General features: G+C 40.6%; 1 protein-coding gene across 14 annotated transcripts in view, besides 4 other annotated features; it reads left to right on the top strand.

The window, feature by feature from the left end:
• Positions 1,437–1,976: a silencer, noted in NCBI's record as "silent region_5746". NCBI's record gives its function as "represses an Ori minimal core promoter by ATAC-STARR-seq in GM12878 lymphoblastoid cells {active_cell/tissue: GM12878}" and the evidence as "EXISTENCE:reporter gene assay evidence [ECO:0000049][PMID:35858748]".
• Positions 1,437–2,383: a biological region, named in NCBI's record as "H3K27ac hESC enhancer GRCh37_chr14:53161801-53162302".
• Positions 1,882–2,383: an enhancer, noted in NCBI's record as "H3K27ac hESC enhancer chr14:53161801-53162302 (GRCh37/hg19 assembly coordinates)". NCBI's record gives its function as "activates a minimal SCP1, AML or CMV promoter by ChIP-STARR-seq in naive H9 embryonic stem cells {active_cell/tissue: H9 hESC(naive)}" and the evidence as "EXISTENCE:reporter gene assay evidence [ECO:0000049][PMID:30033119]".
• The window catches only part of ERO1A (endoplasmic reticulum oxidoreductase 1 alpha), a 55,644-nt gene continuing 30,411 nt past the window's right edge, over positions 1,908–27,140 (top strand). For 9 of the 14 annotated variants that reach the window (NM_001382476.1, NM_001382468.1, NM_001382465.1 and 6 more), the window contains exons 1-6: positions 1,908–2,098; positions 13,559–13,678; positions 15,058–15,141; positions 18,994–19,032; positions 25,595–25,671; positions 25,763–25,836. In NM_001382476.1, the coding sequence (NP_001369405.1) occupies positions 1,985–2,098; positions 13,559–13,678; positions 15,058–15,141; positions 18,994–19,032; positions 25,595–25,671; positions 25,763–25,836 (508 nt within the window). In that variant the 5' untranslated portion in view covers positions 1,908–1,984. Of the gene's footprint in view, positions 2,108–13,558; positions 13,679–15,057; positions 15,142–18,993; positions 19,033–25,594; positions 25,672–25,762; positions 25,837–27,140 lie in introns of all 14 variants that reach the window. The other 5 variants (NM_001382471.1, NM_001382469.1, NM_001382472.1 and 2 more) reach the window with 5 other exon arrangements.
• Positions 2,227–2,276: an enhancer, noted in NCBI's record as "active region_8391". NCBI's record gives its function as "activates an Ori minimal core promoter by ATAC-STARR-seq in GM12878 lymphoblastoid cells {active_cell/tissue: GM12878}" and the evidence as "EXISTENCE:reporter gene assay evidence [ECO:0000049][PMID:35858748]".

Genomic DNA, 27,140 nt, shown 5'->3' with positions numbered 1-27,140 from the left:
CATTTGAACTATTTCAACTTTTAATGTGCATGCAAGATGTCGGAAAGCTGCCAGTTTCACCTAGAAACTACCTTCTTAGGCTTGGTGAAGTGGCTCACACCTGTAATCCCAGCACTTTGGGAGGCAGAGGCAGGCAGATCACTTAAGGTCAGGAGTTCGAGACCAGCCTGGCCAACATGGTGAAACCACATGTCTACTAAAAATACAAAAGTTAGCTGGGTATGGTGGCGCAGGCCTGTAATCCCAGCTACTCGGGTAGCTGAGGCGTAAGAATCACTTAAACCCGGGAAGCGGAGGTTGCAGTGACCCGAGATTGCGCCACTGCACTCCAGCCTGGGTGAGGAAGTGAGAGTGTCTCAAAAAAAAGTCTTCTTAAAACAACAAACAAACAAACAAACAAAAAACAAAAAGTAAGGCCAGGTGCGGTGGCTCATGTCTGCAATTCTAGCACTTTGGGAGGCTGAGATGGGTGGGTCACCTGAGCTCAGAGCTAGAGACCAGCCTGGCCAACATGGCAAAACCCCTTCTCTACTGAAAATACAAAAATTAGCCGAGTGTGTGGTGGCTTACGCCTGTAATCCCAGCTACTGGGGAAGCTCAGGCAGGAGAATCTCTTGAACCTGGGAGGCAGAGATTGCAGTAAGCCAAGATGACGCCACTGCACTCCAGCCTGGGCGACAGAGCGAGACTCCGCCTCGAAAAAAAAAAAAAAAGTAATCCCAGCACTTTGGGAGGCTGAGGCGGGAGAATCGCTCTTGAGGAGTTTGAGACCAGCCTGGGCAACATGGTGAAACCTCGTTTCTACTAAAAATAAAATTAGCCAGGCGTGGTGGCGCACGCCTGTAGTTCATGCTACTCAGGAGGCTTAGGTGGGAGGATCGCTTGAGCCCAGGAGTTCGAGGTTGCAGTGAGCTGCGATCGCATCATTGCAGGCCAGCCTGGGTGACCCAGGGAGACCCTGTCTGGAAAAAAAAAAAGCGGATAGACTAGTCCCAACTCTGAATGTTAAAAGACCAGGACTGGGTATCAGAGGACCTCCAATCCTTGCTCACCTTACCTCACTTCTCTAGGCCTGTTTCTTCCTATGATATGAGCGGGTGGCTTCCACCCTCGCTGTCTAATACAGTGGGCACTAGCCAGCCACATTTGACTATGAAATGGGTCTAGTTCGCATCGAATACACACTGGATTTCAAAGACAAAAAAAGTCAAATATCTTATGAATAAATTTAATGTTGGTTATATTTTGAAATAATATTTTGCACATTCGGGGTTAAATAAAAATATTTTAAAAATAAAATGTACCTGTTATTTTTACTCTTTTGCTGTGGCTACTAAAAATATAAATGACATATGCTGCCCTGGTCTAGATGCTCTCTAATATCCCTTTCAGCTTTAAGACTCCGCCGGGAACACGGTGGACACGTAATTCGTACGATTTGATTGTCTCGCATTGAGATACGGAAGGATTGGCCGGGAGTGAGCGGGCTGGGGCTGGGCGGGGCGGCGCGGGGCGGGCACCCCCCGCCCCCCAACCCCGCAGGAAAACACAGGCCCCTCCGGCTTTCGCTCTCGCTCTGGGAACTGGAAGGACCCCCGACTCCCGCGCAGGGTCTGGGGTTGTGCGCGTCGGGTTGCGTCTCCAGGCCGGGGGCGTCAGGGAGCCGGGGGCGGGGACGGGCGCGGGCGCAGCGGACCGGGCGGGGCCGAGCCGGGAAGCTGGTCGGTGCGTCAGCCTCACGCGGCGGGAAGGAACCGGTCCGAGGCCCCGGGCTGCCGGCGCGGGCGCCGCGGCACGTCCACAGGCTGGGTCGCGAGGTGGCGATCGCTGAGAGGCAGGAGGGCCGAGGCGGGCCTGGGAGGCGGCCCGGAGGTGGGGCGCCGCTGGGGCCGGCCCGCACGGGCTTCATCTGAGGGCGCACGGCCCGCGACCGAGCGTGCGGACTGGCCTCCCAAGCGTGGGGCGACAAGCTGCCGGAGCTGCAATGGGCCGCGGCTGGGGATTCTTGTTTGGCCTCCTGGGCGCCGTGTGGCTGCTCAGCTCGGGCCACGGAGAGGAGCAGCCCCCGGAGACAGCGGCACAGAGGTGCTTCTGCCAGGTGAGCGATGTGCGCGTTGGTGCTGAGGGTCCCGGCGCCCTCCGCGGCGTGCACTGTCCCGCACGCCCTGGCGGGTGAGCGGCTGGGGGTGCGTCCTTGCATCTCTTCCCACCGGGAATGAGACTCCGGTGCTGCTGCCCGGTGGCCGGGACTGAGTCTGGCTTGGCGTGGACCGGGCCTCCACGGCAGCCTGGACGTCGCCGCGCCCTCCGGTGCCTCGGACCAGGAGAGGGGTTGGGTGCACGCGGTTGAGTGGGTTTATGCATCTTTGTTGGTCTTATCTGCCCGGGGAGAGTGTGCACAGTGTATAATGCCCTGCCAGTATTTGCTATTTTCACAGAACCTGGATCTTTCTCACTTCTCTCTTGACCAGGAACTTGTGTACCCAGTACCTGTGCTGCGTGCATTTCGCCAGCCTTTCTGGCTAAGACGTTTGTGGGCTGATCTCAGATTTCGATGTTAGGCGGAAGAATGGCTGCTTGCGGTTTTTCTGTGTGTAAGCCCAACTACCTGATGTCTTTGGGACTGCAGTTGCCCTCTGGTTTCTGGTCCTGTGTGCTCTTTTTCTCGAATGTAATGAGATTCTCTTATCGTGACACCCGTTAAGCTGGTACGAATTGGGAGGAAGGTCCTTATTCTTCAGTGCACAAGTTTAATTACAAGCGGATTATGATCATTTCCTTCTGTAAGAGATGTGGTTTCTTGAGCAAAAAATTGAGAGAAACTTACAGTTTTCCATTATCTTCAGTATCTAGTATTTCAATGTGATTACTCTTGTCAAAGCCACTTTTTGGTTGACTCTGTTGATAAAAATTACGTTTTATACAAAATTAAGGGTTAGGCATCCATGTTATTCCTAAGTGGATTTTGCTATTAATTTATTATCAGAAATACCATTTTATGTGTTTAGGGGCATGATACCATGTCAAAGGAAAGATGCATTTAAATATTATGAAAGGTTTCTCTTTCACTACTTTACATTCTTGGATTTTGTTGTTTTGCTGAGTGATTTGGGAGTTGAGGTGAGTGTTATCTAGGAAACTAAGGGAAGTTGAAAGAAAATTGCTACTTTACAACTGAGACATTGAAAAGTCCTTTACCTTCAATCATTACAAAGGACACACAATCAAGTACTTAAAAGGAAAAGGGTCATTTTTCTTCTGATTAGAAATATAACGCAACACCGAGATTAAACATTTAAAAAATAAGATAGAAATAAGTGACTTTAAAATAAAATATTCTTTACGGAAAGAAGATGTCCAATGTAACATTTTCAGCTACATTCTGGAGATTTGGATACTGGAATAAAAGTACATGTTGAACTCTTCAACTTTTACTTTTTTTTTCCTTAATAACCTTTTTGGAGTTCTGCTTAAAATAGAACTTTAAATTCTTTGCATTTATTTTCTTTTTCTTCTAACTAGTGATTAAACTTTTCCTCTTTCACAATACCCTCATATTCAAATACTTCCCTAACATAAAATTCTGTTAAACCCCTTTCTTTTTCTTTTAGAACGAGAGTGGCTATCTGTGTTTCTTTTCAGACTCAACCTTGAAAAATAGTAAATTGGGCTGGGTGTGGTGGCTCCAGCCTGTAATCCCAGCACTTTGGGAGGCTGAGGTGGGAGGATCTCTTGAGTCCAGGAGTTCAAGACCAGCACGGGCAACATAGTGAAACCCCCGTCTCTACAAAAAAAATTAAAAAAAGAAAAAAGCTGGGTGTGATGGTGTGCGCCTGTGGTCTCAGCTACTTGGGACACTGAGGTGGCAGGATGGAGTGAGCCCAGGAGTTCGAGACCAGCTTGGAGACCCGGTCTGTATTAGTCCGGGTTCTCTAGAGGGATAGAACCAATGGAATATATATATAAAGGGAGTTTATTAAGTATTAATTCACATGATCACAAGGTCCCGCAATAGGCTGTCTGCAGGCTGAGGAGCAAGGAGAGCCAGTCTGAGTTCCGAAACTGAAGAACTTGGAGTTTGGTATTTGAGGGCAGGAAGCATCCAGCATGGGAGAAAGATGTAGGCTGGAAGGCTAGGCCAGTCTCTCACGTTTTTCTGCCTGCTTATATTCTAGCCATGCTGGCAGGTGATTAGATTGTGCCTACCCAGATTAAGGGTGGGTCTGCCTTTCCCAGCCCACTGCTTCAGTGATCGAGGCTGCAGTAAGCCATGATTGCATCAGTGCACTCTAGCCTGTGTGACAAAGTGAGAGTCTGCCTCAAAATAATAATAATAATAAAAAAGTAAATTGAGGATCATATAGTTAAAAAAACAGTTTTAACAGAAATTTAGAAATTTAGAATGGTCTACTTATTTCATGATTTGAGGGAGCCTAAGCAAAAAAAAAAAAAAAAAAAAAAAAGTTGTCTATTTAAGAACAGAGACTATCAATTCCAATTCTATAAGTGAAACAATAGGGCCAGTAGTGGAAGGGATGAGGATCGGGGGAGAAGGGAGGAGAGGTGGCACTGATGAATAGACATGCAGAGAAAATTAGAGGCAAGCATATAGACAGACATACACAGAGAAACAGCATGAGAGGGAAAAGAAAAAAAATGGAGAAAGAAAAGGGGAGATAAATGGTGCAAATCATTCATTCAACAAGTGTAACCACTCTGCACGTTGACCAGAGTGTTTGGGACACAGAAATAACTATGGCATTATCCCTGCCCTGAAGAGCTATAGTTTAGTGAATAATGTTCATTGGGGATTCGTGGGAGGCACAGATCCTAAGCACTTAAAAAACAAGTTAGGAAATATTGCTAGAAACTAAGTTAAAAACTAAATTTCCACCAGATGTTTGGAAATACAAGTTAAAATCTTCTCTGGTTCTGTTTACAATATCCAGTGAGCTGCACAGTCCCGTTGATTGTTTTGGTAATAGTTTTATCTTTTCTTCCTGTTGCCTGTCCCTCTTACCACATCTGCCTTGGGTTACCACATCCCCATCCATCATCACACTGCTGCATGGTGCCTGGCTTATAGTAGGGTTCAGTTCACAGAATGTCCGCTCTGATTTGAGCTAGAGCAGTGACCTTAGAAAGTCACTGAATTAAAATGTGTAGAGCTCTACAAGTAATCAGATTAAATTCATCAAGCATATGTTGAAACCTACTGTGAACAATTTTTGGGAGATCAAAAAATGAATTAAAGGTGTGACACTTCCAAGAAGTGAGCCTGGTGAATAATTGGTGCTCAACAAGTCCTAGGGAAATTATAAGATGCAAGCACTATGCCAACAGGAGTATATTTTAAAAATTATTCTGCTTAGCAAGCCATTTGCATGTTTTCTGGAACTGATCTTTCAGATTGGTTGATAGCTCCAACTGAGTCTTTGAATTTGGTCAGTTGCTACATATGCCTGTTAGTTGATATCAAATCCTGCTAAAATTATTTTCACTGTATGTTGTAAGTTCCTTTGATAATAGTGCTTAAGTGTTAGTTGCTCAAAATGAATGATTAATTGCCTTAGACTTGTAAATCTGTATATGTAACCTCATGTAAGAATTGTATATACAACCTAGGCCAGGCATGGTGGCTCACGATGTTTGTAAACTCTTACTTGCTCATGATGTTTTATCAATCTTAATATGGCTAGTGCTAGTAACACTCAGGATAGCTTATTTGAGCACAGTAAATCTCTGTCAGGCTAATGAAAGGGGAGAGTAGCTCAGAGTCCAAAATAAATACTCCAAAAATGGATCTTTTTTAGCTTGGAGCGCATTTAGTAGATTTAACCTGTCAAGTGTCTTGTTAGGTCAGTTGAAACAATGGTTTTAATTGTTAGCCTGGTGGCTGGGCCGTGGGAGAGACACTTGCTAATATGTTGAGTGGTGGATGGAAATAAGCCCAGGATTATAACTTAGTCAGAGGGATCTTTGAAACAGGTTACACTGGAGAGGTGTCCACTGACTCTATGTGTGTGCTGCATTCCAGGCTTTTCTGAATAAACTGTGTGGAAGAAATATTTTCCTGATGGTTGCCAGTCATTTGACAATTTAAAGTTTCGGCAAGACTAAGTCTTTAAAGCCAAAATGACCTGTAGCGTTCTAGGTCCTTAGGATGGTGCCTACTACCTGGTGTGGAATCTTTGGTATTTCCCTGCTTCCATTGACAGACTTGTCCCAGTGTACTTCTGTCAACAGATGAGTACTTTTTATGTTATTTTTTTATGGTGATAAAACACAGTAAAATTAAATACACCTGAAGTTCTTTGCCAAATAAAGCACACTTTGAGCACATTGATTTATTTATGTATTTCTCTCCACCTTTATTGACACATAAAAATTGCATATATTGGCTGGGTGTGGTGGCTTACGCCTGTAATTCCAACACTTTGGGAGGCTGAGGCACGTGGATCACCTGAGGTTGGGGGTTCGAGACCAGTCTGACCAACATGAAGAAACCCCATCTCTACTAAAAATACAAAATTAGCTGGGCGTGGTGGCACATGCCTGTAATCCCAGCTACTCAGGAGGCTGAGGCAGGAGAATTGCTTGAATCCGGGAGGCAGAGGTTGTGGTGAGGTGAGATCGCACCATCACACTCCAGCCTGGATGACAAGAGCAAAACTGCGTGTCAGAAGAAAAAAGAAATGCATATATTTAAGGTGTACCACATAATGTTTTGATATATAAAAGGTCCTTATCCTTTTTTTTTCTTTTGAGACAGAGTCTCACTTTGTCACTCAGGCTGGAGTGCAGTGGCGTGATCTTGGCTCACTGCAAACTCTGCCTCCTGGGTTCAAGTGATTCTCCTGCCTCAGCCTCCCAAGTAGCTGGGACTACAGGCACCCGCCACCTTGCCCTGTTGGCCAGGCTGATTTTGAACTCCTGACCTCAGGTGATCTGCCCTCCTTGGCCTCCCAAAGTGCTGGGATTATAGACATGAGCCACTGTGCCCGGCCCTTGCCCATTTTTTAATTGGGTTATTTGTTTTTTTGTTGTTGAGTTGTATGAGTTCCTTTTATATTTTGGATAATAACATCTTGTCAGACAGATGGTCTGCAAATATTTTCTCCCATTCTGTAGGTTGCCTTTTCATTTTGTTGCTTGTTTCTTTGTTACATAGAAACATTTTAGTTGCATGTAGTCCCACTTACTTATTTTTGCTTTTATTGCTGGTCTTCTTGGTGTCACATAAAAAATCATTGCCAAGACTAATGTCATGGAGCTTTTCTCCTATGTTTTTTTCTAGGAGTCTTGGTGTTTCAGGGCTAACATTTAAGTCTTTAATCAGCTTTTAGTTGACTTTTGTGTGTGTTGTAAGATAAAGATCCAATTTCATTTTTTTGCACATGGATATCCAGTTTTCCCACCACCATTTATTGACAAGACTGTGCTTTCCCATTGTTTGGTCTTGGTCAAAGATTAGTTGGCCAGACATGTGTGGGTTTATTTCTGGGCTTTCTATTGTTTTCCATTGGTCTATGTATGTGTTTCTATGCTGATACAACACTGTTGTGATGACTGTAGCTTTGTAATATAATTTGAAATTACAAAGTAGGCTGCTTCCAGGTTTGTTCTTGCAAAATTGCTGTAGCTACTTGGGGTCTTTTGCTGTTCCATCCAAATTTTACAATTTTTTTTTCTATTTTTGTGAAAAATGCCATTGGAGTTTTGATAGAAATTGCATTGAATCTGCAGAACACTTTGGGTGGTATGGGCTTTTTAACAATATTAATTCTCTCAATTTATGAACATGGGATATCTTTCCATTTATTTGTGTAATCTTCAGTTTTTTTAATCACTGCTTTATAGTTTTCAGCATACTGATCGTTCCTCTCCTTGTTAAATTTATTCCTAAGTAGTTTATTCTTTTTCATTCTATTCTAAATAGAATTGTTTTCTTAATTTTTTTTTGGATAGTTCATTGTTAGTGTATAGAAGCACAATTGATTTTTGTATGTTGATTTTGTATCTTGTAATTTTGCTGAATTTATTCTAATGGTTTTCTGGTGGAGTCTTTAGGATTTTCTATATATAAGATCATGTCATCTGCAAAAAGAGACAATTTTACGTATTTTTTATTTGGATACCTTTTATTTCTTTCACTTTCCTAATTCACACTTTGAGCATGTTTAAAAGGTATTTCATAAAAAATGTATATGAGGGCCGGGCGCAGTGGCTCATGCCTGTAATCCCAGCACTCTGGGAGGCTGAGGCGGGTGGATCACCTGAGGTCAGGAGTTTGAGACCAGCCTGACCAACATGGTGAAACCCTGTGTCTGCTAAAATACAAAATTAGCCGGGCATGGTGGCAGGCACCTGTAATCCCAGCTACTTGGGAGGCTGAGGCAGGAGAGTCTCTTGCACCTGGGAGGCAGAGGTTGCAGTGACCTGAGATTGCACCATTGCACTCCAGCCTGGGCAATAAGAATAAAACTCCGTCTCAAAAAAAAAGTATATGAGGAATATATTCTTATAGTGCTTTGTGTGAAAAAATAAAATGGTAATGTATAATAAGACTAGAATATATTGGTATACAAGAAAACTTTAGAAAGTGTTGTTTTGTCTTTCATTGCAAATTAAAGGATACCTCTGACATGAGAGTAGTGAACAAGCGGTACGTGGTAATTTTCCTTTATCCTGCCTTTTGCATTTGGTCAAATCAAACAGAGTCAACAGAGAAGGTAATTGAGGCTCCCTCCACAGCTAACTGTTGGTTATCTAGTTCTTTGTTCCATTGGGGCTACAGATGTCAAATTTTTGGGAAATTTTAGCTGCAAATTCGGCTGTATTTTTCTTATTCATTATGAAAATGCCATGTGCTGCTTTGGGAAGTAATACATGCTTCCCTTTCATTGGAAGCATTTAAGTAGAAGTAGGGTAATAATAATGATTAACATGTACTGACAATTTACTTTGTACTATTTATCTTGGTATCAACTCTTTGAGATGAGAACTATTACTATTTTCTATTAAGATGAGAAACCAAGGCCTAGAGAGGTTAAATAGCTGGGATAAAGTGAAAAACTAATGACTGGCAGAGATGGGATTCAAACCTAAGGAGGTCTGATGTTAGAACATACACGCTAACTATTGTTACACACTACCTGTTCCTTGAGGGATGTGAATGGAGGGATTTGCTGTTTTGCTTGGGAGATTGTAATAGAAAGCCTTCCAAGGCTTTCTAACTCTTAAAAGACTAGGACTTTTTTTTTTTCTTTTCTATTTTTTTGAGGCAAGGTCTTGCTCTGTCATTTAGGCTGGAGTACATTGGCATGATTATGGCTCACTGCAGCCTCAACCTCCCTGGCTCAAGCGATTCTCCCACCTTAGCCTCCTAAGTGGCTGGGACTACAGATGTGCACCCAATGCCTGGCTAGTTATTTTATTTTTTTGTAGAGATAGGGCCTCACTGTGTTGCCCAGGTTGGTGTCAAATTCCTGTTCTCAAGCAACCCTCCTGCCTTCACCTCTCAAAGTGCTGGAATTACACGTGTGAGCCACCATGCTGGAACAGAAGGCTGGAATTTTGAAGTGGTCCATGTTACTTGTCAGGCCTACCTTGGTCCTCCTATTTACTGTTCCTCAACTGGGGCCTTCTTATCTCTGCTTATTAGATTGGCCCTCTACCAAAAGCTATCATTACTTGAAGCCTAGAGCAGTTAGCCTCAAATGTTAGGATACTAACCTTTAAAACACATTAGCATTTAAAAAAATTTAGATTCCTGTGGTAGGTCAGAGTTCTGTTTTACTTTGGGATATAGCGTAGTAATTTTCCCCCTTACCCGCATTGTTCCATGTAGTAGTTATTTAGGCAGCCTTAGCACATCCTGAAACAACATCCAGTCCTCCCTGTTCCAGGTTGCCACCTGTCTTTGGTCTTAGTTGAGGTAATAGGATTTTGCTTTGTTTCCCGGATCCTGTTCTGTGTCTATTAACTGTATTTTACCTTAGCCCTTTCCTGAGGCTCTATTCTTTTTTGTTTTTTGAGACAGGGTCTCACTCCCATTGCCCAGGCTGGAGTGCAGTGGTGCAATCTCAGCTCACCACAGCTTCGACTTCCCAGGCTCAAGCCATCCTCCCACCTCAGCCTCCTAAGCAGCGGGGACTGCAGGCGTATGCCACCATGCCTGGCTAATTTTTTTTTGTAGTTTTAGTTGAGACAGGGTTTTACCATGTTGCTCAGGCTGATCTGGGACTCCCAGGCTCAAGAGACCTACCAACCTTGGCCTCCCAAAGTGCTGATTACAGGCATGAGCCTGAGATTCTATTCTAGTAACATGCTTTGTTCTCTGGTTTCTAGAACTGGTCCTGCCACCATCTTTGCCAGACTCTCTCCCAGGGATCAGGTTGGCAGGCTTATCTGAGTTGTCAGATGGCATGGATTTCCGAGAATCTTCTTGTCTTTCCTTTACTGAGCTGTCTTCATCCATTGAAACTCCTGCCACCCTTATACTCCCTTAGCAGCCCTGCTACCTGTGGTTGTAGTTAAGAATATCTCCTACTCCATATTTCAGGAAGGGGCAGGACATTTTTTTTTTTTTGAGATGGAGTCTCGCTCTGTCACCCAGGCTGGAGTGCAGTGGTGTGATCTTGGCTCACTGCAATCTCTGCCTCCCCGGTTCAAGCGATTCTCCGGCCTCAGCCTCCTGAGCAGCTGGGACTACAGACATGTGCCACCATGCCCAGCTAATTTTGAATTTTTAGTGGAGACAGGGTTTCACCATGTTGGCTAGGATGGTCTCAATCTCTTGACCTTGTGATCCGCCTGCCTCGGCCACCCAAAGTGCTGGGATTACAGGCGTGAGCCACTGTGCCCGGCCAAGAACATTTTAAAATCTACCAATCTACCATTTATCCTGCCTTCTTTCCCTTTGAGGTCTCTTGGCTATATGCCACCTCTGCTCTGGAGGATTTTTGCATTTCTTTCTGGTTTGGGGCTTCTTAGAGCTTCCTTTGTAATTAGGATAGAGATAGGAAGAATGATAGACACAAAAGGTGTTTACCTTTGCTGCTTGCTTTACTTGCTATGTGTGTTTCTGCCTCCTGTGCTTGTGTACTCTGGGGCACTGAGCACACCATAGGTGACATGGTGCTAGATATGTTTAATGAGACAGTATGGTGCTGGTCTCCAGTGATGAGTGACAATGGACAACATTCATTCATTCACCCACCTCTTCCACAAATAGTAATAATTTATTTGTGACAGAATCTCACTTTGTTGCCGAGGCTGGAGTGCAGTGCAGTGGTGTGATCTTGGTTCCCTGCAACCTCTGCGTTTTGGGTTCAAGCGATTCTCCTGCCTCAGGCGCCCAAGTAGCTGGGACAACAGGCATGGGCCACCATGCCCGGCTAATTTTTATGTTTCTGGTAGGGATGGGGCTTCACCATGTTGGTCAGGCTGGTCTTCAACTCCTGACCTCAAGTGATCCTCCCGCCTTGGCCTCCCAGGGTGCTGGGATTACAGGCCACAAATAATTATTGAGCATCTACTGTGTGCTTTCTGGAAGTATATGATTTTTCACTCAAGGATTTTATACTTTAGTGGGCAGGGGTAAAATAGATAAATTCACTGCTGTGAGGTACAGTAATACTTAGATAATAGTGTGTGGAGTGTCTTGGGAGCAGCTGGGAGAGGCATTTAACCCAGCGGGTGGTAAGGAGTACTGGAAGGACAGCTTCCTGAAAAAGGTGATACTGAGCTGAGGCTTGAAGATATATTTTAACCTTAAAAATGAATTCCTCAGGGGGAAGAATGGATGCCTTGAAACTTGCTCTCAAGTTTTTCATGTGTTTCTTTTTGTAACTTAATGTCTCTACTTTGCATATGTCCCTTTGGCCTTTGCAGTCTCTATGTCTGTCATTCTTTGCATAATAATTCATATCAAAGGGGAGAAACAGCTATTTTTTGTCCCTAGAAGTTCTGCTCTTAAGGTTGAAAAGAAAGTTTGAAAAATCATATCATTTAGGTTAGAAGTACTTTGTGTTGTTGGTATCCAAAATTAGGACTCTGAGATTCTTGTGTATTCAGAGAATTTTTAGTAGGAAACAAGGACAAATTTGCATATGAAATGAAAATAGTTATTACATGACAAAATATGTAGATCTGATTTCTAGAAACTGAATTAGTCCAAAACAAGTAAGAGTGGGAAAAGCAGTAAAAAGTTCTTCTTGAATATTGCTGTTGTCATCCAAAGTATTCTTATTTCTTTTAGGTGAAAAATTTCCATTACTCTTTTGTGATATTCTCAAAAGAAAGTTTAGGATTTTACAGTGTTCTGAAATACTGAATCTTAATTCAGTATTTCAATAGAGTATTATTGATTTGCTTCCTTATCAGTAGATTTTTAAATTATTTATTTCTAGGCTATAGATCTTCCTAAAATATAATCCAAAGTAGTTTAAAATGCAGATATCTAGACCAAAGTATAAAGATCTCTTTTCTGGAGCATGCTATATTTAACAGTTTTTTCCTAAGTTTGTTTTTGTTTTTGGAATCATGATATATTTGTTTCTTAAAGCAATCTTTAGTTCTATTAGATGTTTTTCTAGCTCAAATAAACATCTAAGAATTTTAGTTTAATTTGGCAAGTAACACTGGTGAAAAAAGAAAAAAAAAGAATTCTAGTTTCATAATTGATAATATTTATTATCATTACCATTGTATCCTAGGATATGTGCATTTAGTAGCTTGATTTAGTACATACCATTAAGACATTAGCTTTAAACATTTGAAGAGCAGGATTGACTTTGAGGTCAGTTTGCTGTTTCATTGTTACTAATGATAAATGGTTTCTAAGCACCATTCCAAACCTTTAAGAAATTGTTACAGCCCAATATTTGAGGATTGTTAGATCCTTACTGAAAGCTAAGGATGGGAATGCAGCTGTGCCTCAGGAAGGACAGTGGAAGTGGGAGCTGGAAACCCCTCAGATACCCAAGTAGCATATACTCTATCTCCTACCTCTGCTTCTTTGTGTATCTTTTTTTGCCCCCCAAGAATTCCGAGGACAATCAAGCTTTGTGTATCTTTTAAAAACTTTTCCTCTCTTTGCCAACTGGATCATGTGCTCCTCAGTTCACATGATGGAGTATTTGTTTTACTGGTCTAGCCACAGGGAGACATCTTTCCCTGTTATTCTCAATTCTAGGATCCTGGAGAGGGGACCATGACCTGGTTTGAGTTGGATGCCTACCCTTGGTCAGGTCAACTATGGCCTGGAGGGCAGAGTTACAAAATAAAGGTTGCCAGGGGGCCAACTCTCTCTGTGTGTGTGTGTGTGTGTGTGTGTGTGTGTGTCATGAGCTCTGCACACCTTCCATTCCTCGGTATATAGCAAGAGCAGCAGTATTACTAGATTATTGTCATACCCCATCTCAAGAAACTATGTGGGAGGAGGGAGGATAAGGACTGGTTGAGTAGGGGGCTGTTTCCTAACAACCATGTGAGGAAAAAGAACCCTGTTGCATTTAGGACATTTCAATTTAATATTTCATTTTCTTTGTAACAGGTTAGTGGTTACTTGGATGATTGTACCTGTGATGTTGAAACCATTGATAGATTTAATAACTACAGGCTTTTCCCAAGACTACAAAAACTTCTTGAAAGTGACTACTTTAGGTATTACAAGGTATTTTTAATTTTAATTTTTTATATATGAATACTTTAAATGGATAATTAGATTTTCTTAAGAATTACTGAGCTTCAAAATTGTAGTTGTTATTTAAAATTGATATAGGCTTTATTAAGAAAATTCAGTTCATAAGAGTGAAGCATGTGATTCTGAAACCATCCATTGGATAATTTTAATAACTGAATTTTACACTCTAGAGTTAGAATCTAGTTGGTTAAATTGAAGTTAGGACAGAAATTATTATATATTGTTATCAAAATGGTGAGATCATAATTTTCTAAAACATCAGATTGGCTCCAATTAATTAAAATAATTAAATATTTTTTGTAGAATCATGACTTTATCCTGACCTATATTATTTAAACAAATCACTTGTGCTGTTTTATCTTGAGATATCTACTAGAAGAGTTTAGAAAACCTGATCAATGGAGTATTTAGTTGTAGTCAGTTTACAATTGTCTATCCTCTACCTGTTAACTCTTTCTTGTTTGAAAAGAATGTGAGTCGAGCTACTTTGGCTCCTAGTTGCCATCTGTTCAGGGTCTATTTAGTGGCAGTCTGTGTCTTTTTTTTTTTGAGACAGAATCTTGCTTTGTCACCCAGGCTGGAGTGCAGTGGCATGATCTCTGCTCACTGCCAACTTCCGCCTCCTGGGTTCAGGCAATTCTCCTGCCTCAGCCTCCCAAGTAACTGGGATTACAGGCACCTGCCACCACACCTGGCTAATTTTTGTATTTTTAGTGGAGATGGGGTTTTGCCGTGCTGGCCAGGCTGGTCTTGAACTCCTGACCTCAGGTAACCCACCTGCCTTGGCCTCCCAAAGTATTGGGATTACAGGCGCCAGCCACCTTGCCCAGCCCAATCTGTGTCTTTTTTTTCTTTTTTGAGACAAAGTCTTGCTCTTGTCATCTAGGCTGGAGTGTGGTGGCATGACCTTGGCTCACTGCGCCCTTCGACTCCTGGGTTCAAGTGATTCTCCTGCCTCAGCCTCCCGAGTAGCTAGGATTACAGGCACCTGCCACCAGGCCTCGCTAATTTTTGTATTTTTAGTAGAGACGGGGTTTCGCCACGTTGGCCAGGCTGGTCTCAAACTCCTGACCTCAGGTGATCCGCCCCCCTCGGCCTCCCAAAGTGCTGGGATTACAGGCATAAGCCACTGTGCCCGGCCCAGTCTGTGTCTTTCTAACCAAGTCTACCAATTTACTTATACCAGCCTCACATTTATGCAGTTGTTATAAACTGGCAACAGATAGGTGGAAGAAATACTGTATTTGCACCTGATAACATGACCAAGTTATAGCACCATAATTTGTAACTGTCAATTATAATTTTGGGATTCTGATTTTTATAATTTTTTTTCTATTATTATTTTACAGGTAAACCTGAAGAGGCCGTGTCCTTTCTGGAATGACATCAGCCAGTGTGGAAGAAGGGACTGTGCTGTCAAACCATGTCAATCTGTAAGAACCATGTATACATTTAAAAACTGTTACATGTTTTTTCATTCATTATAACTTTTTGTTTTGTTTTATTTAAGAATTTTTTTTTGAAAAAATAGAGATGAGGTTTCACTATGTTGCCCAGGTTGGTCTTGAATTTCTGGGCTCAAACAATCCATCTGCCTTAGCCTCCCAGAGTGCTGGGATTACAGGTGTGAGCCACTGCACCCAGCCCATTACAACTTTTTAAAGGCAGCCAATAAAACTAAAATAATCGTGCAGTCCTTAGTTTAAATATAACATTCAATATTTATATGTTAAAAACCCAAACTTATAAAACCTATTTTGAATTACACTGCCTTCATAATAATAGAATTAACATTTTGTGGTTAATATAATCCTTTGACTTATTAGGGAGATTGATAATAATTCTTTTGGCCTGATATTTGATTTTCCTCTTACATCTTTTCTGAACCAAGTTATATATATAGCATAATAAAATGAAATTAATCGAAGTATAAACAAAATTCCCCCCCTCTTTTTTCGGGTGTGTTTTTGCCTTGGATTTCCTGGGGTGTGAGTGGACAAAACACCTGGTTTTACTTAGGAATTTTTGGAGCATTAAAATTTGAAGTATCCTACTGTGAAAATAGAGTTTTAAAAATATTTTTGAATGACAATTTATTCCCTTTTTAAGTACATCTTTTTATTTTACTTTTAAAATAAAGTTGACCTTTTTTTTTGACATGATGTCTCACCCTGTTGCCCAGGCTGGAGTGCAGTGGCATGATCTCAGGTCACTGCAACCTCCGCCTCCTGGGTTCAAGCGATTCTCCTGCCCCAGCCTCCCAAGTAGCTGGGATTACAGGTGTGTGCCACCACGCCCAGCTAATTTTGTATTTTTAGTGGAGATGGGGTTTCTCCATGTTGGTCCATGCTGGTCAGGCTGGTCTCGAACTGGTAACCTCAGGTGATCTGCCTGCCTCAGCCTCCCAAAGTGCTGGGATTACAGGTGTGAGCCACCATGCCCAGCTTCGATTCCTTTTTAACGCTGAATAACATTCCACTGTATGCCTATACTATGTTTTGTTTATATAGTCACCTGTTGATGGACTTTTGGGTTATTTCTACCTTTTTGCTATTGTGAATAATGCTGCTATGCACAAATATTTATTTGAGTCCCTACTTTAGTTTTTTGGGGTATATACTTAGAAGTGGAATTGCTGGATCATGTGTTAGTTCCGTTTGTTTTTTTCTGAGGATCTGCCATACTGTCTTCAACAGTGGCTGTACCGTTTTACATTCCTACCAGCAATGTACAAGAGTTCCAGTTTCTTCACATTCTTGACAATACTTTTACTTTCTATTCTTTTGGATAATAGTTATCCTAATAGGTGTGAAGTGGTATTGTGGTTTTGGGTGGTTTAATTTTACATATGTAAATATTGTTACACAGACTTATCTAGCATGTGGAATTAAGGCCAATGTCATATACTATTTATGGGCATTTTACCATGAGAATGAGAAGCATGTTTTTTGTTACATTAATCCTCATATAGATACAACTTATTGAAAATTAAAGGATTAATTTATGAAACACCTTGTCACTATTAAAGCATGAGCATATCATTAAAGTGATATTAACAGTGTAAACATTTTGTATTCTAAGTTTTGCGTTTGTAATTTAGTAATAGAAAAAATTAGTTGGGGACATTTACCAATATCCTAATTATATGAATTAGTAAAAATGCTGAAATATGGTAGATGCTTAATAAAGGCGTTTAATTATACTTGTTCATTAAATGAGCTTTTTATTAATATTAGAAAATACAAATACTTTACAGTTATTGCAAAGTCAAATCTCATCTTGAGATACCAATTATTTCTGATTATTATTGATGAAGTGTAGAACTAGGGGACACCATTTGGAAAAGAAGATTGGAGGGAGCAGAAACCCTGAAAATACTGTAGCATAAAATAATAGCTTATTGATTCCATCAGTTGACAGACTGATGAATGAGATGTATTTCATTGTAAATCCAAGAGAAAACAACCAATTTTAGCATTTGAGAAATGTTAAATATATATTTATTGTTTGATTTGAATGTATTGAAGTGCTATAAAAGAATCAGGTGGAAGTTATCAATTTGCACTGAAATATTGAGTCAGGATCCAGTAATTTTAAGCTTCTGCAGAGCTGGGAAGAAGTGAAAGGCAGAATGCCTTTCATGCCAATACTTTGTTTTTTTTTTTTTTTTTTTTTGTTTGTGTTTTTTGCTTGTTTTTGAGACAGGGTCTCACTCTGTTGCCCAGGCTGGAGTGCAGTGGCATGATCTTGGCTCACTGCAACCTCTGCCTCCTGGGCCTAAGCAGTCCTCTCACCTCAGCCTCCTGAGTACCTGGGACTACAGGCGGACTACAGGCACACATCATGCCCAGCTAATTTTTTGTATTTTTGGTAGAGACAAGGTTTCACCATGTTGTCCACTGGGGTCTTTAACTCCTGAGCTCAGATGATCCACCCGCCTTGGCATCCCAAAGTGCTGGGATTATGGGCATAAGCCGCTGTACCTGGCAGCAATACTTGTTTTTTTCTTGAACTGATGTTATGATGGAGAAAAGCTTTTTTCTTTAAAAGATCATTGGAAGGCCAGGCATGGTGGCTTATGCCTATAATCCCATCACTTTGGGAGGCCAAGGCAGGCAGATCACTTGAGGTCAGGAGTTTGAGGTCAGCTTGGCCAACATGGTGAAACCCTGTCTCTACTAAAAATACAAAAATGAGCTGGACATAGCAGGGTGCCACTCGGGAGGCTGAGGTACAAGAATCATTTGAACCCAGGAGGCGGAGGTTGCAGTGAGCCAAGATCTGCCACTGCACTCCAGCCTGGGCAACAGAGTGAGACCCTATCTGAAAAAAAAAAAAATCATTGGAAGGTATTTATCCATCTAAAAATATTCTTAGTTTATAAATACAGATAATGTTAGCTTAGCAGAGAAATGCCACGATTAGATCAGAGTTAGAATGTTAACTGGCAGTATTGTGGGGAGTGTGGAATAGCAGATGAGGAGATGGGGAAGAGACTGGTAAAGTAACATAAATGTGTTAGTCCATTTTGCATTGCTATGAGGGAACACCTGAGACTGGGTAATTTATAAAGAAAAGAGGCTTATTTGGCTCACAGTTCTGCAGGGGGAAGAAGCATGGTGCCAGCGTCTGCTTGGCTTCTGGTGAGGCCTAAAGCTTACAATCATGGCAGAAGGCAAAAAGGGAGCTGTCATATCACATGGCAAGAGACAGCAAGAGAGCAAGGAGGTGCCAGGTATGGAGTGAACTAATAGATTTGTTCTAGATAATAGAACTTATTACTTCTAGATAATAGAACCAGTAGATTAATTCATTACCTCAGAGATGGCACCAAGCGGTTCATGAGAGATCTGTCTCCATGACCCAAACCCCTAGGTTCCAAGAATCTAGAATATCTGGCCATCACAGAAAACAAAAACAATTCTACTAAGGACCACTGGAGTAATAGCAAAAGGACACAGGTGTCAATATCAAGTCAGCACTCAGTGGATCTCCTAGTGGCCAAATACGGGACAATTTGAACATCAAAAGGGATAATGGCTAAATGATTATTTTTACATCTCCTTGCTGTAATATACATAATGTATGCTCAGCAATCCATAGAATAATTTGTTCTTGAATTTTTATTTACTTTTAAGCAATCATATGAATACTACCTATTCTGTTAAAAAATCCAACTTCGATAATTTGTTATATGAATTTTTCTCATAAATCACAGAAATTTAAGATATGTTTTAAGAAGATAGAATAAATGCCAACTAAAAACATATTTTTTTCTTTTTCAGGATGAAGTTCCTGATGGAATTAAATCTGCGAGCTACAAGGTGTGTACGTATACCTATTGATGTGTCCAGTATCTTAATGAAAAACTTGAAAAACCCATTTCCGTTGTACCTACTATCCCATTTATCTGCTTCCAGTGGTGAAACCCCTTGAGAGGTATTTATGCTGAATGGCTCTCTTTCTGTTTGTTTTTGTTTAACATTTTATTTTTTATGTATTTTATTTTATTTATTTTTTTGAGATGGAGCAGTGGCGTGATCTTGGCTCACTGCAACCTCCGCCTCCCCGGTTCAAGCGATTCTTGTCTCAGCCTCCAGAGTAGCTGGGATTACAGGCACTCACCACCATGCCTGGCTAATTTTTATATTTTTAGTAGAGACGGGTTTTCTCCATGTTGGTCAGGCTGGTCTCGAATTGCCGACCTCTGGTGATCCGCCCGTCTTGGCCTCCCAAAGTGCTGGGATTATAGGCGTGAGCCACCGCGTCCGGCCTGTTTAGCATTTTATTATAGAAAATATCAAAGATAAATAAAAATAGAGGAAAAAATGTATCTGAAAGTCCATATGTTATTCAGAGTTCTTTAATTTTTTTTTTTTTTTTTTTTTTTTTTAAGATAAAAGGTCTGGCTCTGTTGTCCAGGCTGGAGTGCAGTGGCATGATCATAGCTCACTGTAACCTTGAACTCCTGGGCTAAAGTGATTCTCTCCCCTCAGCTTTCCGAGTAGCTGAGAGTGTAGGCAAATGCCTCCATGCATAGATAATTTTAAGAAAAAAATTCTGTAGAGATAGAGTCTTGCCATGTTGCCCAGGGTGGAAACTCCTGACCAAGTGATCCTCCTCCCTCAGCCTCCCAAAGTGCTGGGATTACAGGCATGAGCCTCCACACCAGGCCAGATTTCTTTAATTTTTACCTAATATCCTTTACCTGTTCTAGGATCCCACCCAAGACACCATGTTATATTTAGTAGTCATGTGTTCTTAGGCTTCTCTTAGCCGTAACAGTTTCCCAGTCTTTCTTTGTTTCTGATAAGGTGTTTTTGAGTAGTACTAGTCAGGTGCATTTTGTAGACTGTCCGTCAGTGGGGATTTATCAGATTCAGATTCATTTTTTTGATATATATTATATATATAGGAGTTACTGTGTACTTACTATTGTGTTATACCAACATATAATCTCTGCCTTTCTCTTTTTTCTTGATGTTAAGATTGATCACTAGCTTCATTATACATTCATCTTAAAGCTCCCTAATAGCTTTTCACTGAAAAGTTTTAGCAGCCTTGATGATTATTACCTGGTTGCATTAGCCAAAGTGATTTTTTTTAAAACATGAGATTATCTGTCTTCTCTGTTTAAAATCCTCCTTCGTGCCCATTTCTCCTGAGAAAAGGCCAAAGCCCCTATAAAGCAACAAGAAGTAAATAGAGTGACCATATGCCAGGGTTTGTCTGGAACAGAACTGGCTTATACCTGTTGTCCTGACATCCTTTCTGATTTATCATTTTTTCTGAGTTTCTTGGTTTTAAATAAAATATTATTAACAGTTGCATTAAAATAGGTTGGGATGGAATTGGTAGACAAATACTTTTTTTTTTTTTTTTGGGGTAGATAGGGGGGTTCTACCATGTTGCCCAGGCTGGTCTCGAACTCCTGGACTCAAGCTGTTCACCCACCTCGGCCTCTCAAAGGGTTGGGATTACAGGTGTGAGCCACGACACTCAGCCAAATACTTTGTATTTCCATCTTCCTCTGTTGTCTTCTCTCTTATTTGATATGTGTATGCTAAATAGAGTTCTGACTTTAATACAAAGATGACCAACAAGAACGTATCCTTCTTCTGATTTTCTAGATGCAAAGAAACTAAATCTTTGTCTCAAGCACAGTATACTAGGTGCTTGCTGAAAAATAATTACACTCAGACACAAATGACTAGGGACAGCTGCCTCCTTACAGCCTTGGGAAGCACGGGGAAGGTGTTGCATACTGCTGCCCCTCTTGGTCTCTTGGACTTAGTAGCCATTTGTGCTGTGGCCTGTATCATACCCACAATATTACTAAGCTGCCAGTCTGCCTTTTGACTAGTTAATGGGAAACCTGTGAAATTACATGGTAAATAAATAGAAACCGAGCAATCCTACATAGAGAGAATAGTCTTGCTGTGGTAGTTTTATCCTTTATTGATAAATTGATAACTGTGTAGTTATTTTATGGTTTGGTAATGCTCTTTTTATTTTGCAATGAATCCTTTTGGCTGAAATAAAAAGGAAAAAGGAAGTGCATGTTTTATGAAAAGTAAAATATTGAATTTCCATTTCTCCTGATAGTTCATCATGATATGTAACTTGCACAAAAGATCATCATTCACTATTCCTAAAGGCCATAAAAATAACACTGGCCATATGAAAATCAAAACACAGAAATCTGCTGATAAAGCCTCAGTGTCTACTTTGCAACAAATTTGTAAAAAATGTCAGCTTTTAAAGGTTTAGCAAGGATGGACATGGTAGTTCATGCTTACAATCCCAGCACTTTGGGAGGGTGAGGTGGGAGGATCACTTGAGCCCAGGAGTTCGAGACCAGCCTCGGCAACATGGTGAAACCCCGTGTCTACAAAAAATACAGTTGTGGTGGCACATGCCTGTTCTCAAAATAGCAAAACCCCATCTCTACAAAAATTAGCCAGCCATGAGGATGTGTGCCTGTAGTCCCAGCTGCCCAAGTGGCTGAGGTGGGAGGATCCCTTGAGTCTGGGAGGTCGAGGCTACAGAGAGCTGTGATTTCACCACTGTACTCCAGCCTGGGAGACAGAGTGAGACCCTGTCTCAAAAAAAAAGGGGATTTAGCAAATTGCAATTATTACTACTTATTTTAAGAAGACTGTGTCTAAAGATAACAATTTAACGTGCAGCTGCAGAGAGTACATTTACATATCATTCTGTGATATGTGACTTTTCATTTAGACTAAATAACTTTTAAATTAAAATTTCCCATTATTTTATTATGAAAAATTAAAAATATAGCAGAGTTAAAGGAATTTTCCCTTGAACATTCTTATACCCGTAACCTAGATTCCACCACCTTTTTTTTTTTTGAGACGGAGTTTTGCTCTTGTTGTCCACAGTCTGGAGTGCAATGGCGCGATCTTGGCTCACTGCAACCTCTGCCTCCCGGGTTCAAGCAATTCTCCTGCCTCAGCCTCCCGAGTAGCTGGGATTACAGGCATGCGCCACCATGCCCAGCTAATTTTGTATTTTTAGTAGAGACGGGGTTTCACCATGTTGGCCAAGCTGGTCTCAAACCTCTGACCTCAAGTGATCCACCTGTCTCGGCCTCCCAGAATGCTGGGATTACAGGTGTGAGCCACCGTGCCCGGCCTAGATTCCACCATTTTAATAAACTCACTTTACCACATGTCTGTTCATCTGTCCATCCTTGTAGCCATCCATTAGAACATCTTATTTTTCGGATGCATTTCAAAGTAAATTGCTGGCATCAGTATACCTCCTCCTAAATAAGTCATTAGCTAGATGGATTTATGTAAGTAGAAGTATATTATTAACTAGAGTCCAATATTTGTTTATATGTGCTTTTAATAAAAGTATTACCATACAATGAAATGTGCAAATCTTAAGTGTGCATTTGCTGAATGTTGACAAATGCATATACCTGTGTAACCTAGGCTTCTATTAAGAGATAGAATGTTAGCATTATCCTGCAAAGTTTCCTCATACCCATTCCATTCAAACCACACTCCTTCTTCAGAGGCAACCACTGTTTTGAACATTTTCCATCATAGATTCTAAACTAATTTTGCTCATTTTTAATTCCATGTTTTCTTGTACACACACAGAGTCAAAGAATGAATTAATAGCTTTTCACTTGGTTCCAGTGGCAGAAGAACTTTGCACATAGTTAAATGGTGTCATTATCAACTATTTCAAATAGAAAATAATTTCATTTAACAAATTGCTTGAGGCTGGGCACATAGTGGCTCATGCCTGTGTAATCCCAGTGCTTTTGGAGGCCACCATGTGAGGATTGCTTGAAGCCTGGAGTTCAAGACCAGTCTGGGCAACATTGTGAGACCCCATCTCTACAAATAAAAACTAAAAAAAAATTAGCCAAGTGTGGTGGTGCATGCCCATAGTCCTAGCTCCTCAGGAGGTTGAGACAGGAGGAGGCTGAGCCCCAATGTCCAGGTTACAGTGACCTATGATTATGTCACTGCACTCCAGCTTGGGAGACAGAGAAAAAAAAATTGTTCGATTTATTTCATTTAATCGATAGACTGAAAGTAAAACTTTTGGAAGTTCATTCTGTTGAAGGAAAACATTTGTCACTATTGTGAATGCTAGTGTAAATTCAGTTAAAGCTCAAAATTGAAGATAAAATATTTGTTTGTGGTAGTACACATATAAATTTTTATAACAGCAATGTTCTGGGTAAAAACCAGTGTCCTTAATAAATCAAGAAATCTATGAAACAAATGGCATTTGTAATAAAAATATACAAATAATTCATAATTGTGTCCACACAAGCTGTGATATTTTACCAGTTAAGATAGAAGTGGTAATAAGCTGAGTGTGTGGCATGCACCTGTAGTCCTCGCTACTCAGGAGGCTGAGGTGGGAGGGTTGCTTGAGTCCTGGAGGTAGAGATTGCAATGAGCCAAGTCTGTGCCACTGCACTTAAGCTTGGGTGACAGAACCAGATCCTGTCTCAAAAAAAAGGAGTAATTGTTAAAATTAGTATGTGATTTATATATATACTAAGTTATGATTGTGAAATTTTTGAGATGAAGCTGATGCTGAAAAAATTTACTTTGGTATGGTTTTAGTATGATAGTACTTACTTTGCTGTCTATTATCAATCAGATTTTATAAATGTTTTGAGGCTTCGAAGAACTAATTTGTAAAACAACCCAAGAGCTTCTCAGTAGTATTGATTGGTTTTTAATAAATGAACCCTCTAAGTTTTTATTGCAATTTGTTCTAAATCAGTGAAAAATAAGTATCAATGAATGGAATGCATAAAGAAGAAACAAAGTTTAGCTGTTAAGGTTTAGCAAATTGCAATTATGGCAAAATGGCTAGATGTGGTGGCTCATGCCTGTAATCCCAGCACTTTTGGAGGCCAAGGCAGACAGACTGCTTGAGACCAGGAGTTCAAGACCAGCCTGGGCAACATGGTGAAACCCTGTATCTAAAAAAATTTAAAAAATTAGCCATACATGGTAGTGTGCACCTGTAGTCCTAGCTACTCAGGAGACTGAGAGGGGAAGATTGCTTGAGCCTGGGAGGTTGAGGCTGGAGTGAGCTGTGGTCATGCCATTGCACTCCAGCCTGGGCGACAGAGCGAGACCCTTTCTCAAAGAAAAAAAAAAATCATTATAACAAAGCTTGTAAACAAAGGCCTTTAAATTTATACCTACAAAAAGTAGAGAGAAATCAAACACATTAAATGAGGAAAGTCCAAATGGTGTTTAATATGATTCAGAAATTGTATTCTGAAATGTTATAAATGTGTTTGGGAGTATCTCCATTTGTGGCAAGAATATCTTCTTGATAGAACTCTGCTTTGAATTGGATACATTTATATTCTGATCTGAGATGTAATGAAATTGAGGATTACAATTTCATAGTATCTAAGTTTGACCAAATTTTTTTTGTTTGTTTGTTTTTTGTTTTTTTTTTTTTTTTTGGTCAGAGACAGGGTCTGTCTCTGTTGCCCAGGCTGGAATGCAGTGGTAAGATTATATAGTTCACTGTAACCTCGAACTCCTGGGCTCAAGCAATCCTGCCACCTCAACTTCCTGAGTAGCTAGTATTATAGGCACATGCCACCATGTCCAGCTAATTAAAATTTTTTTTTGTAGAGATGGGGTCTTGCTGTATTACCCAGGCTGGTCTTTAATTCCAGGCCTCAAGCAAACTTTCCACTTTGGCCTTCCAAAGTGCTGGGATTTCAGGCATGAGCCACCACACCCAGGCTTTAAATTTGTCAAAACATTTAAAATAATGAAAACATAGAGACAACTTATTTGATGTTTTGTCTTAAAATATTTATTGTAGAAATGTACTTTAGGGGCAAAAGAATAGAACTTGTGAAAATATTTGGGCTAAAGTATTTCCACATATTTACCTAAAGAGAGAATGTTTTTTCTTTTTTTTTGAGACGGAGTCTTACTCTGTCGCCCAGGCTGGAGCGCAGTGGCGTGATCTCGGCTCACTGCAAGCTCTGCCTCCTGGGTTCACTCCATTCTCCTGCCTCAGCCTCCCGAGTAGCTGGGACTACAGGCGCCTGCCACCACGCCCTGCTAATTTTTTGTATTTTTAGTAGAGACAGGGTTTCACCATGTTGGCCAGCCTGGTCTCAAACTCCTGACTTCAGGTGATCCACCTGCCTCGGGCTCCCACAGTGCCGGGATTATAGGCGTGAGCCACCGTACCTGGCCTGATTATGGGCAATTTTATGAAAAATTAAAAGCAATAAGAACATATTGGAAAAATAAAAAAAATAAAAAGAGCTTCAGATAACTTCTAAATTTTAAACAAGTTTTAAAAATGCAATAAGTTATTATCTATTTATTCCCTTTTTCATTTTAGTATTCTGAAGAAGCCAATAATCTCATTGAAGAATGTGAACAAGCTGAACGACTTGGAGCAGTGGATGAATCTCTGAGGTTTGATTTTATTTTTCAGCAGTATTTCATGTTTCTTTATGTTACATATTAACTTAAAAATAATAATGTTATTTTTTTTCTTTGTTTGAAGTGAGGAAACACAGAAGGCTGTTCTTCAGTGGACCAAGCATGATGATTCTTCAGATAACTTCTGTGAAGCTGATGGTATAATATTTTTGATAGTATGCATTGTGTTTAAAATTATACCTAAGAAAAAAAAAGTTTTTAATTATTTTAATCTGGGCATGGTGGTGTGCCTGTAGTCCCAGCTTATCTGGAGGCTGAGGCAGGAGAATCACTGGAGCCCAGGTATTTGAATCCAGACTGGGCAACATAGTAAGACCCATCTCAGAAAAAAGTTATTAAAGAAAAAAACTCAGTTTCTAACGGTTTGGCGGTTCTTCAAAAACCTAAACGTAGAATTACCATATGACATAACAGTTCCTTTTCTAGGTATATACTCAAAAAAATTAAAGACAGGGACTCAAACAGATGGCAAAGCAATGTTCATTATAGCCAAAAGGTGGTAACAACCCAATTGTCCAGTACTGTTTGAATGGATAAACAAAATGTGGTATATAAAACACACAATGGAATACTATTCAGCCAGAAAAAGGAATGAAGTTCTGGTACATACTACAACACGGATGGATCTTGACAACATGCTAAGTGAAATAGGTCAGGCACCAAAGGACAAGTATAAATGATTTCACTTATATGAAATGTAAACAATGGGCAAATTCATGGAGACAGAAAGTAGATTAAAGATTATCAGAGGTTGGGGTGGGTAGGCGTTATTGCTAAAAGGTTACAGAGTTTCTGTTTGAGGTGCTGGAAAAGTTCTGGCAACAGATAGTGGTGATGGTTTCACAACACTGTGAATATAATGAATCCCACTGAATTGTATACTTAAATGTGGTTAAACTGTAAATTTTATTATATCAATTTTATTACAGTTAAAAAAACTCAGTTTCTAGAAAAAATGTACCTCTTAAGTTTTGCAGTTCTATGTAGCTTGTGGTTTATATAATTTTGTATATACATTTTGTATAAATAGCTAAAATTTAGGGATTACAAAAATCTGCTTCAGTTACATTGCTGTTGGATTGTTATGTATATTCCTTAATGATGGTCCGTGTTGCTTTTGGAGAAGTGAATATTGAACCGTTAGTCGAGTCTGTGATGTCTGAAGTTAAGCCAGAGTGCTGCTGCTGTTAAAAGCTAGGAGCCCCAGATTCATTAAAACTCTGATCGTGGCACAGTGGTTCATGCCTGTAATCCCAGCTACTCAGGAGGCTGAGGCAGGAGAATCACTTGAACCCAGGAGGCAGAGGTTGCAGTGAGCTGAGATTGTGCCATTGCACTCCAACCTGGTGACAGAGCGAGACTCCGTCTCAAAAAAACAAAAGACCAAAAAAACAACTCTGATCAAGATGTATAGATTTTCCAATTCTTCCTTTTTCTAGTAT

Source organism: Homo sapiens, chromosome 14 (assembly GCF_000001405.40).
Source record: "Homo sapiens chromosome 14, GRCh38.p14 Primary Assembly".
In the NCBI taxonomy this organism is placed as follows: Eukaryota; Metazoa; Chordata; class Mammalia; order Primates; family Hominidae; genus Homo; species Homo sapiens.
Note: the sequence above shows the minus strand (reverse complement) of the source record. Positions and strands in the feature narration are given on the sequence as shown.